At 40.9% G+C, this 12,891-nt stretch overlaps 1 protein-coding gene and 1 long non-coding RNA gene across 16 annotated transcripts in view; one reads left to right on the forward strand and one right to left on the reverse strand.

Moving 5' to 3' along the window:
- TULP4 (TUB like protein 4) overlaps nt 1-12,891 on the forward strand; it is a 279,634-nt gene that overhangs the window by 62,602 nt on the left and 204,141 nt on the right. Inside the window, exon 3 of one of the 12 annotated variants that reach the window (XM_047419085.1) lies at nt 4,697-4,757. The exons of the other annotated variants lie outside the window; for them this stretch is intronic. The gene's annotated coding sequence lies outside the window, so the exon portion shown is untranslated. The remainder of the gene's footprint in view (nt 1-4,696; nt 4,758-12,891) is intronic. 12 annotated transcript variants of the gene reach the window in all.
- LOC124901447 (uncharacterized) lies at nt 1,976-8,576 on the reverse strand. Of its 4 annotated transcripts, none has more exons than XR_007059833.1 (2): nt 8,429-8,576; nt 1,976-3,812 (listed from the first exon to the last, which is right to left on the reverse strand). It is a non-coding gene; the product is annotated as an uncharacterized LOC124901447 (long non-coding RNA). The 4 variants fall into 4 exon arrangements; XR_007059835.1 differs by having other exon boundaries at nt 1,976-5,382; XR_007059832.1 differs by having other exon boundaries at nt 1,976-5,416.

The following is a 12,891-nucleotide window of genomic DNA, read 5'->3' on the forward strand; positions in this document are numbered from 1 at the left end:
TCTCAGCTTACTGAAACCTCCACCTCCCAAGCTCAAGCCATCCTCCTACCTCAGTCTCCTGAGTAGCCGGGACTACAGTCATATGCCAGCATGCCTGGCTAATTTTTGTAGAGACTGGGTTTTGCTATGTTGCCCAGGTCCTGGGCTCAAGTGATCTGCCTGTCTTGGCCTCCCAAAGTGCTGGGATTACAGGCATGAGCCACCTTGCCTGGCTTCCTCTCTTTCTTTTCCTCAACCTCCAAGCAAACCTGTAGTCAAAAGCTGAAACATTAGGGTGTTTGCATATTTTATTGAAAATTTTCTACTGTATATTTTTGTCTTGTTTTGTGTTCATCTGACACGTGTATATTTTTTTCCAAATCTACTTTTCTGTTTAAGCACTGTCTTACATTGTTATCCTTTAGAAGAAATAGAACTTTGTTCTGAAGTTTTATATCCATTCATTACTGTTAATGTGCATTTTCTTTGTAGACACCTTAGCTTGAGAACTAAAATAGCATCTTTATGCTTTATTGGAATTTTCTAGATTGGGAGAGTACCCCTTATGGTTGGATACAATAATTTAAAAAAAACTTCCTTACTAATTTTTCTAAAAGTCCCCCAGGTCTGATGCCTAATGTAGTTCACAGCTTGTTAAACCTGTTTATATCAAGTTTCTCAAGTTAAAAAATTCTCAAATTAAAAAAAAAACAAAACTTACTTGTTGTGAGATATACATACAGAAGCATATGTTATAAAGTGTATATATGTAATAAAGAATAAAGTGAACACCCCGTAACTACCACCCAGGTAAAGAAATATGGCCAGCATTGGCCAGGCATGGTGGCTTTCGCCTGTAGTCCCAACACTTTGGGAGGCCAAGGTGGGCAGATCACAAGGTTGAGAGATCGAGACCATGCTGGCTAACACAGTGAAACTCCATCTCTACTAAAAAATACAAAAAAATTAGCCGGGCCTGGTGGCGGATGCCTGTAGTCCCAACTACTTGGGAGGCTGAGGCAGGAGAATGGCACGAACCTGGGAGGCAGAGCTTGCAGTGAACCAAGATTGCACCACTGCACTCCAGCCTGGGCAACAGAATGAGACTCCGTCTCAAAAGAAAAAAAGAAATATGGCCAGCATACAAGCAACACACCTTTGTGTGCCTCTCCCGGCTCACAATAGCCACCCCCCAAATAAGCAACATGCTGCTTTTTGTAATATTTTTTCTTTTTAATTTTTAGTCGTACCACCAATGTATTCTCTATTAACTGATAAAATTAGTTTGGCTTGTTTCTGAACTTCATATAATTGATTCATATTATAGGTATTCTTTCATAAGATCCTTCCTTCCCCTTCCTTTTTTCTCTTTTTCCTTTCCTTTTCTTATTTTCTCCTTCCTTTCTTTCCTTTCCCTTTCCCTTCCCATTCCTTTTTCTCTTCCCTTTTCCTCATGGCTCACTGTAGCCTCGATTTCCTGGGCTCAAGCAATCCTCCCATATTGGGGGAACCCGCCCCCAATATTTCAACGTAGGTTCTATTTTCCATAAGTGTCGGCCAGCTGAGAAATAAAGAGAGACAGTATAAAGAGAAGAATTTTACAGCTGGGCCGCCGGAGGTGACATCACATATTGGTAGGACTGTGATGCCTGCCTGAGCCTCAAACCAGCAAGTTTTTATTAAGGGTTTCAAAAGGGAAGGGGGTGTAAGAACAGGTAGTAGGTACAAAGATCACATGCTTCAAAGGGCAAAAAGCAGAACTACTGATAAGGGTCTAACAAAGATCACATGCTTCTGAGGGAACAGGACAAAGGGCAAAAGCAGAACTACTGATAAGTATCGGGGGAACCCACCCCCAATATTTCAACGTAGGTTCTTTCTATTTTCCCTAAGTGTCAGCCGGTCTGAGAAATAAAGAGAAAGAGTACAAAGAGAGGAATTTTACAGCTGGGCTGCCGGAGATGACATCACATATTGGTAGGTCCATGATGCCCCCTGAGCCTCAAAACCAACAAGTTTTTATTAGGGATTTCAAAAGGGGAGGGAGTGTATGAACAGGGAAAAGATTACATGCTTTAAGGGGCAAAAAAGCAGAGCAAAGATCACATGCTTCTGAGGAAACAGGACAAGGCAAAATCAGAAACTCCTGATAAGGGTCTGTGTTCAGCAGTGCACGTATTATCTTGATAAACATCTTAACAGAAAACAGGGTTCGAGAGCAGAGAACCAGTCTGACCTGAAATTTACCAGGGCTGGTGTTTCCCAATCCTAGTAAGCCTGAGGGTACTGCAGGAGACCAGAGTGTATCTCAGTCCTTTTCTCAACCGCATAGGACAGACACTCCCAGAGCGGCCGTTTATAGACCTCCCCCTAGGAATGCATTTCTTTTCCTAGGGTCTTAATATTTAATATTACTTGCTAGGAAAAGAATTTAGTGGTATCTCTCCTACTTGGCACGTCCATTTATAGGCTCTCTGCAAGAAGAAAAATATGGCTGTATTCTGCCTGACCCCGCAGGCAGTCAGACCTTATGGTTGTCTTGCATTGTTCCCTAAAATCGCTGTTATTCTGTTCTTTTTTAAGGTGCACTGATTTCATATTGTTCAAACACACATGTTTTACAATCAGTTTGTACAGTTAACGCAATCATCACAGGGTCCCGAGGTGATGTACATCCTCAGCTTACGAAGATAACGGGATTAAAAGATTAAAGTAAGACAGGCATAAGAAATTATGAGAGTATTATTAGGGAAGTGATAAATGTCCATGAAATCTTCACAGTTTATGTTCAGAGATTGCAGTAAAGACAGGCTTAAGAAATTATAAAAGTATTAATTTTAGGAACTGATATATGTCCACGAAATCTTCATAATTTATGTTCCTCTGCCACGGCTCCAGCTGGTCCCTCTGTTCGGGGTGCCTGACTTCCCACAACAGATAAGGGTCCAACAAAGATCACAAGGCAAAGGGCAAAAGCAGAACTACTGATAAGGTTCTATGTTTAGCGGTGCACGTATTATCTTGATAAACATCTTAAACAACAGAAAACAGGGTTTGAGAGCAGAGAACTGGTCTGACCACAAATTTACCAGGGCGGAGTTTTTTCCCACTCTAGTAAGCCTGAGGGTACTGTAGGAGACCAGGGCGTATCTCAGTCCTTATCTCAACCGCATAAGACAGACATTCCCAGAGCGGCCGTTTATAGACCTCCCCCTAGGAATGCAATTCTTTTCCTAGGGTCTTAATATGTAATATTCCTTGCTAGGAAAATAATTTAGCGATACCTCTCCTATTTGCACATCCATTTATAGGCTCTCTGCAAGAAGAAAAATATGGCTGTATTCTGCCTGACCCCGCAGGCAGTCAGACCTTATGGTTGTCTTCCCTTGTTCCCTAAAAATCGCTGTTATTCTGTTCTTTTTCAAGGTGCACTGATTTCATATTGTTCAAACACACATGTTTTACAATCAATTTGTACAGTTAACACAATTATCACAGTGGTCCTGAGGTGACGTACATCCTCAGCTTACAAAGATAACAGGATTAAGAGATTAAAGACAGGCATAAAAAATTATAAAAGTATTATTTGGGAACTGATAAATGTCCATATTAAAATGAAATCTTCACAATTTATGTTCCTCTGCCGCAGCTCCAGCCGGTCCCTCCGTTTGGGGTCCCTGACTTCCCGCAACATCTCTCCCTTTCTTTTTATATAAATGTGCCATGGCGATGAAGGCTTGTTCGTTCTCCCAGTTTTGACACAGGATTCTTTGACTGGTCTGGCACATGGTATCCAGATTCCTTCTTGATCTCGAACCAACATTATACTTTTCCTGGAGTCAAAACGGGAGTTAACACAAGTGTATAAATGACAATTAATGCATTGGACAGTTTGATTGTTCGTCCAAATTTTGATATTTTCCACTAACAGCATGTAAGGAGGCTTAACACAACTCTGTATAGGAGTAGTCAGGTTGGCGGTAAACAAAGCAGAATGTTTGAGTCTACGTTGATACTGAGGGAGAGGAGCGGCAGTGGCAATGCCCAATGTTCTGCGCCACAAAGAAGCAATCCTAGGTGCCCGGGGATGCCGAACAGGTAGAGGAGCATACCTGGGTCAAGAAGAATTATCATAATGCCAATTGGAGTCCCATAAAGGAGGATCAGCATCAAAAAGAGGGAAAAGGTTCAAAGGGGATTTATCATGGAGTTCAGAATCACGGATGCAAGGGGCGGTAGTGGGGACAACAGACAGAAACGTTTCCCCTTCCCATACTTGCAGTCTGGACATGGCAATAGCCAATTTCCAAAGTTCTGGGTGTTCTGGGCTCGGAATGGGGAGTATCCATACTAGGCCTCGGTCGGGGTGGGGGGTAATGCCCTTATCTTCCTGTTTTAAGGAAAAGGACGAGCTGAACCTCCTATGCCAAGTAGGATGATGATCCTCGTCATCCCAATAAGAAATATAAAATAAGTAGCCTCCAGGCATTCCCTTCTGCCAGAGGAGCAATCGTTTTTTAAATAGCCCTTTGGTGCCCAGTCTATTACTAAACCATATGAGTCATTTTTTTTAATACTACTGCATGTGAATTAACACAATCTTCCCAAATTAAAGTTTTAGATGGGCCCTCAAAATTTTTAGGACATGGTTTTCCTACAGGTTTATATTGAAGGTATGGGGTATCTCCTATTACTCCCCCTTTCATTTGTCTTAAAGGAGAAAGGGAGAGGCCGGAGACCAAATGTCCCCATTCCCTTGTGGCTGATCTCTCCAGAAGGTAAGCAGCCCAGACTTGAGTTTCTAGATGGATACAACCAGGTGCATGTCCAAAGCCCAGAGGAGGGCATTTATAACCCATAGTAACATTAAATGCAGTGCTTTCTTTTCCTGGTTGAGCAGGGCAATGTTCATCTGTAGCTCCAGGCAGCCACACACGATATCGTTAGCATAGATTTCCACAGGAGCATCCATCCAGGTGAGAGATTGAATAAGTGGGGGAAAAAGCACATAAGCCTAATAAGAATAATTTTGTGTAGCAGGTAAATCAGTTTGAGGGGAAACTGGTAAGACAAAGTGTAAGGGGGAGAATTATTAAATAAAACCTATTATAAGCGAGATCCAGTGCTAAAGGAGGAAGAGAAGAACAGGGGGATGTTATTTTCAGGCTAATAGAAATGGTGAGATTTTTAGGTTCTTAAGGAGAAAAAGGGAATTAGGAGAAGTGGGATTAGTTAGAGGGGTCTCTGTTGCCATTAGGGAGGATTGAACCACACCCATTTTAATTTGGCGTGCCAGTTTCTGAGGAGTCGGCACAGATCTCACCAGGTATGAAGGTGGTCTCTGACGCAGACGTCTCTTCCCTATGGTTTTTATTGTCAGTATTCACACGAAGTTTAAGTCTCCTAGTGGGCACCCAGACAGGGGATTGATGATCTCCTGGTGAAACACAAGCATACCCTCTTCCCCACGTTGTAATTGTTCCAGCTTCCCAGGTATTGGTCTGGGAGTTTTTCCCTAACACTGGCTTGCCTTCATTTAGGGAGAATTTTTTGCCTGTTCAGCTGCAGTCAGAGTATGTCTTTAGGAACATTTAGAAAGTTTAAAGTAAACAATGCTAAATGTAACTGGGAGTGGGGAGTGGTTAAATTATGCTTTTGTTGCTCAGACTGTTTGGACAATTGAGTTTTTAAAGTGCAATTGGCCTGTTCCGCCACAGCTTGTCCCTGAGGATTGTAAGTTACTCTGGTAATACGGGAAATTCCCCATTGTTGCATAAATAAATCAAAAGCCTTACTAACATATCCAGGGGCATTGTCTGTCTTTATTTGATATGGAAGCCCCATAACTGCAAAGCAAGAATACAGATGTCTTTTAATATTGGCTGTGCCTTCCCGTTTGGCAAGTAGCCCAAATAAAACCTGAAAAGGTGTCTACAGAAACATGTACATGTGAAATTCTGCCAAAGGAGCTAACATGAGTCACATCCATTTGCCATAAATCATTAGGAGTTAGGTCTCTGGGATTAATGCCAGGTTCCTGATTTGGAAGTACAAAAACTTGGCACTGAGGGCAGTGGTGGACAATAAGCTTAGCCTCCTTCCAGGTGAGAGCAAATTTATCTTTTAATCCAGCAGCATTGACATGAGTGAGATTATGGAACTCCTGAGCTTCTCGGATTGCAATAGAGACCAGTCGACCTTATCGTTACCAGCAGACATGGGTCCCAGTAGAGTGGTATGAGATCTAATATGTGTAATATAGAAAGGGTGTCTACGTTGGCGAACCGCCTGTTGTAACCTTGAAAATAAAGAAGCCAATTCAGAATTACCAATATGTTTGATAGTAGCGGTTTCTATATTTTTAGTGGCATGTACAACATAAGCAGAATCAGAGACAATATTTAAAGGTTTGGGGAAATCCTGTAAGGCAATAATTACAGCAATTAACTCTACCTTTTGAGCAGAGGTATAAGGGTTAGAAATAAGCTTGTCTGTAGGACCCACATAACCAGCATTTCTGTTACTGGAGCCATCAGTGAACACTGTAATGGCCTCAGGAATGGGCTGATCTTTGGTCAATCAAGTGACCACCCAAGAAGTCATTTTTATAAAATCAAACAGTTTTTTTTTTTTTGGATAATGATTGTCAACAACACTGATAAAATCAGCCAAGTGAATTTGCCACAGTATGGAATGTTGAAAAGTGGCCTGAACTTCGAGTTGATTTAAAGGAACCACAATTAAATTCGGATCAAATCTGGAAAATTTAAGTATTCTACACCGAGCTTGTCCAATTAGGGTGGCCATTTGGTCCAGATAAACAGACAAAGTTTTTGACACAGAATGAGGAAGAAAACACCACTCCACTAAGTCATTATGTTGAACTATTAGCCCAGTAGGGGAGTGCAATGAAGCGAAAACCAGAAGCTGAAAAGGCTGAGACGGCTGTACCCTAGACAACTGGGCAGTTTGGATTCTTTACTCCATGAATTCCAGTTCTAGTGAAGCCTCAGGGGTGAAAGTCCTGGGACTGCAGAGATTGGAATCTCCACACAGCATAGAAAACAAGTTAGATGGCGCGTATGTTGAAATGCCTAAAGTAGGTCTTAATTAATGTTATCTAAAAGTTTTTGGAATCATTTAAGGTTTTCAAAGAATCTCTCCTAATCTGAACCTTTTGAGGTTGAATATATTCTTTATTGAACACCATTCCTAAATATTGAACAGGAGTGGTCTGTTGAATTTTATCCTGAGCGATGTGTAATCCAGCCTCTTTAACACAATGGCTCAAAAATTGTTAACAGTCAATTCTTTATCAGTGGGGGCAGCGATTAATATATCATCAATATAATGAAGAATATAGGCCTGGGGAAATTGAGCTCAAAGTAGTGAAAGCACCTGTCCAACATAAAGCTGGCAGATGGTAGGGCTATTCAGCACTCCCTGAGGAAGTACTTTCCATTGATAACGAGCTGCAGGCTCCTGATTATTGATAGATGGTACAGTAAAAGCAAATTTTTCACAATTCGATTTATGTAAAGCAATATGAAAGAAATAGTCTTTAAGATCAGTAACTATGAGAGGCCAATTCTTAGGTATTAAAGCAGGGGCAGGCATCCTGGGTTGGACAGCTCCCATAGGTTTAATTACAGCATTAATGGCCCTTAAATCAGTTACCATCCTCCACTTGCCTGATTTCTTTTTTACTAGAAACACAGGAGACTTCCAGGGGGAGAGAGAAGGTTCCACATTTCCAAGTTGTAACTGTTTAGCAACCAATTGAGTTAAAGCCTCCAGTTTTTCTTGAGAGAGCGGCCGCTGCTCAATCCAAACAGGTGTTTCAGATTTTCATTGTAGGGAGGCATAGCAGTGGCTGTCATTGAAAAGGATGACCTAAACCAGCCCTCTTCTACAGTAACTTGAAGAGGTTTAGTAATTCCTTCATGTCTTGGACCGAGACCGAGTCCGGGAACAAACCCCATGTTTTCCATTATATTTTGACTGGGAGCACTGTAAGAGTTATGTGGAATATTAATTTCAGCCCCCCACTGTGTCAGCAAATCTCTACCCCAAATATTAGTGGAGATTGGCATGATATAAGGCTGAATTTTACCCTTTTGACCCTCAGGGCCAGTGCAAGGCAAGATAAATGTGCTCTGGTGAACTTCATCAGCTTTTCCAATCCCTGCTAGTTATATGTTAGTGGGATGTTTACGCCAGGAGGAAGGCCATAAATTAGAGGAAATAATAGAAACATCAGACCCAGTATCTAGTAGGCCCTTAAACTTTTTTCCTTGAATGTGTATGGTGCAGGTGGGCTGTTGTTCAGAAATTACATTAATCCAATAAGTGGCTTTTTCACTGTCAGAGCCCATCCTAGGACCCCGTGTCTTATCTCCTTTGTTTAAAACAATATTAGGTAGTAAAAGTAATTGAGCAATTGACTCACCAGCCAGAGTGGAAACAGGAATTTCAATGTAGGTTCTATTTTCCGTAAGTGTTGGCCGGCTGAGAAATAAAGGCAGCAGTATAAAGAGAGGAATTTTACAGCTGGGCCTCTGGGCATGACATCACATGTCGGTAGGACCGTGATGCCCGCCTGAGCCTCAAACCAGCAAGTTTTTATTAAGGATTTCAAAAGGGGAGGGGTTGTAAGAACAGGGAGTAGGTACAAAGATCACATGCTTCAAAGGGTAAAAAGCGTAACTACTAATAAGGGTCTAATAAAGATCACATGCTTCTCAGGGAACACGACAAAGGGCAAAAGCAGAACTACTGATAAGGGTCCAACAAAGATCACAAGGCAAAGGGCAAAAGCAGAACTACTGGTAAGGGTCTCTGTTGTTTTCAGTTTGGAGCTGATGTAAACCCTGCTGCTGTGAATACTTTGTATGTGAATACCTTATATCTACCTCCCCTTGAGCACTCACAGACAATGTGTTGTGGTGCACACACTCAGGAGTGGGAATGCTATTTGCAGGGTATTCACGTCTTCAGTAATACTAGTAATACCAAACTATTTTCCAGAGTGGTTGCATTCTTACAACTTGTAATGAATATGTTTCTGTTAAAATTGTGTAAGTGGAAAATATCTTCCCTAATTTATCTCCAGTCTCTAACGTTAATTCAAACGGTTTAGAAAACAAAACAAACCAAAAATGCTTTTTTACCTCTCCACTCCCGATGGTAAATTTTATCTGTGTTGGTGGAAAATAGGAATCAGATAACACAAAACAAATTGTAGTGAAAATAAGTTAGAAAGTAGAATATCTAATTGGGGACAAGAGAGGGAGAGAACACAGCACAGGGGCCTTGTGTATAATATTAATAATATTAATAGCTGTTTAATGAAGATTTATTGGTTGATTAATCTATGGGTATCTAACATACCTGATACACCATCCTGTCCCTAGGTTGAACTTTCCAAGCAAGTTCTGGGGCTCCTTCTTTGCCATTAGAACTGGATCGTATGGAAGCTAGAGTGGGAAGCATCTTATGTGTTTCATTACTGGCATCTAGAACCCTAGCAGGTCATTAATTCAATTAGACACATGTATTCTTTGGTTTGAGATTCTAATATCCTAAAAGCAGGTATGGGTTTTGTACTGATATACAGGAATGTTCTGAAAATAAGCTGTAATTATTAGAAACAGGTTTGTTTCTAATAATATCTGTGGAGGTCAGCATTATTTATTCTTAATGAAAACACCCAGGATTGCCCTTGGGCCTGTGTTAACAGTGCTCAGGGTAAAAAACATCATAATGACAAGCAGAGTAATATTTACTTTCAATCTGTTATTGAAAGACTTTATATGAATAGTTGCTTTTTAACCAACTTATCTCATTTTTTAAATTGAGGGGAAATATATATACCATTAAATTTACCAATTTTACCTTATTTTTTTTTTTGAGATGGGGTCTCACTCTGTCACCCAGGCTGAAGTACAGTGGTGTGATCATGGCCCGCTGTAGCCTTGAGTTCCCGGGCTCAAGCAATCCTCCCACCTCAGCCTTCCAAGTAGCTGGGACTACAGGTGTGCATCTCCATGTCTGGCTGATTTTTTTATTTTTTGTAACGACGGGGTCTTGCTATATTGTCCATGCTGGTCTGAAACTCCTAGGTTCAAGCCATCCTCCTGCCTCAGCCTCCCAATGTGTTGGGATTATGGGTGTGAGCCACTGTGCCCAGCCCATTTTTACCATTTTTAAAGTGTACAGTTCAGTGATATTAAAGTACATTCACATTATTTTGCAACCATTTGCCTTCAGAACTCTTTTCATCTTACAAAACTAAAACTCTATACCCATTAAACACTAACTCTTTATTTCCCCTCCCCTCAGCCCCTGGCACTCACCCTTCTACTTACTGTTTCTATGAATCCTACTGCTATCTACTCTTGGTCCCTTATATCACTGGAGTCATAAGGTATTGGTCTTTTTGTGACTGGCTTATTTCACCTAGCATAATGTCCTCAGAGTTCATCCGTTTGGTAGCATGTACCAGAATTACTCTCCCTTTTAAGGCTGAATGATATTTCATTCTGTGTGCGTGTGTGTGTGTGTGTGTGTGTGTGTGTGTGTGTGTGTGTACATATACCACATTTTGTTTACCCGTTCATCCATCAGTGGACATTTGGGTTGTTGCTGGGTGTGGTGGCTCACACCTGTAATTCCAGCCCTTTGGGAGGCTGAGGTGGGAAGATTGCCTGAGCCCAGGAGTTTGAGACCAGCCTGGGCAATATAATAAGACCCTGTCTGTACCAAAAATTAAAAAAAAAAAATTAGCTAGCCTGGTGGTACGCACCTGTAGTCTCAGCTATTTGGGAGGCTGAGGTGGGAGTATAGCTTGAGCCTAGGAGTTCAAGGCTGCAGTGAGTTGTGATCACGTCTCTGCACTCCAGCCCGAAAGACAGAGGGAAACCCTGTCTCAAAAAAAAAAAAAAAAGTCATTTATATTGGTTTCACCTTTTGGCTACTGTGAATCATGCCGCCATGAACATTGGCATACAAATATCTGTTCAAGTTTCTGCTTTCAATCTGATAGTTGCTTTTTAATCATTTTATACCAACCCCCCTTACTAGTGTTGATTTGACAATATTCTTATCATTCCTTGGAAACTTAATCAGTTTAGTTACCATTCTCGTTTTCTCATCTTTATGAGAAAAGGTAGAAAGAAAGGAAGTGAAATGCCCAACACCACTCATTTTTGTTAATGGTATTGATAAAATTGGCACCAGCCTTTCAGGAATTCGGATGCTTTGATTGTTCTTTTTTGTTGTTAGATTTTTGTATCCATTATGCATTTTGAATCATAATAAAGTGGAATTAAAAAAAACTGCCATATTTGTCTAGCATATATGGCGTTTTATGATTTTAAAGATATTTTTAAAGTTTGGTTAAAAACCTTAACAGTATATGTGAAATGGAACACTGTGCTTTTACTGTGGAAATTTATCCTATATACCTTAATAAAATAGTTATTTAAGATTTACATTTGGCTGGGTGCTGTAGCTCATGCCTTTAATCCCAGTACTTTGGGAGGCTGAGGCAGGCAGATCACTTGGGCCCAGGAGTTTTCGAGACTAACCTGGGCAACATTGGGAAACCCTGTCTCTTCAAAAAGTACAAAAAGTTAGCCGGGCATGGCGGCATGCGCCTGTAGTCCCAGCTCCTCAAGAGTCTGAGGTGGAAGGATTGCTTGAGCCTAGTTCGAGGGAGGTTGCAGTGAGCCAAGATTGCGCCACTGCACTGCAGTCTGGGTGAGAGTGAGACTCCTTTTCAAAATAAAGAAAGAAGGAAAGATAGATAGATTTACATTTTAGAGAGTTAGTATATGTCTGTGATTTTTGAACTTTATTGTTTCAGGGCTCCTTTATATTCATAAAAATTATTGAAGGTCCAAAGGAACTTTTGTTTTTGTGGTTATCTGTTGATATTTACCATATTAGAAATTAAAACTGGCTGGGTGCAGTGGCTGACACCTGTAATCCCAGCTACTTCAGGAGGCTGAGCAGGGGTGGATCACTTGAGCCTCGGAGTTCGAGACCAGCCTGGCTAACGTGGCGAAACCCTGTCTCTACACACAATACAAAAGTTAACTGGATGTGGTGGTGTGCACCTGTGGTCCTAGCTACTCAGGAGGCTGAGGTGGGAGGATTTTTTTGAGCCCACGAATTTGAGGCTGCAGTGAGCTGTGATCACACCACTGTACTCCAGCCTGGGCGACAGAGTGAGGCTGTGTCTCAAAAAAATAAAATAAAACTGATAAAAAATATTCCCTAATTTATTAAAAACATAAACCCATTAAATAAGTTATATATTTTTATGAAAACAACTGCTTGTCCTAAAACTAAAACATTTAATAATAAGAGTGTATTGTTTTATATTTTGGCAGCAATATCTAATGTCTGGCTTACTTAAAGATGGCTAGGTTCTCATATTTGCTTCTACATTTAATCTTGCAATATGTCGTTTTTGTTGAAGTATATGAAGAAAATTCAGCCTCACACACATATATAATTGGAAAAGAAAGGAGGATTTTAATAGTCTTCAGATAATCATGGATGTTTTTCTTTGATAACCACACTAAAATTCAACAAGTGGTAGTTTCTCAAAGGTTAGTTGCAATGTAGAATTTGAATGAAATATATCAGTGAATTTTTCATCCTTGGTTACATTAAAATTCATTTGTCTTCTTTGCACTTTTTTTGTTTTGTTTTGTTTTTGAGACGGAGTCTCACTGTCACCCAGACTAGAGTGCGGTGGTGTGATGTCGGCTCACTGCAACCTCCGCCTCCTGGGTTCAATTGATTGTCCTGCCTCAGCCTCCTGAGTAGCTGGGACTACGGGCACCTGCCACCACACCCAGCTAATTTTTGTATTTTTTAGTAGAGATGGGGTTTCACCATGTT

The sequence above is a fragment of the Homo sapiens genome, chromosome 6 (genome assembly GCF_000001405.40).
Source record: "Homo sapiens chromosome 6, GRCh38.p14 Primary Assembly".
NCBI classification, from domain to species: Eukaryota; Metazoa; Chordata; class Mammalia; order Primates; family Hominidae; genus Homo; species Homo sapiens.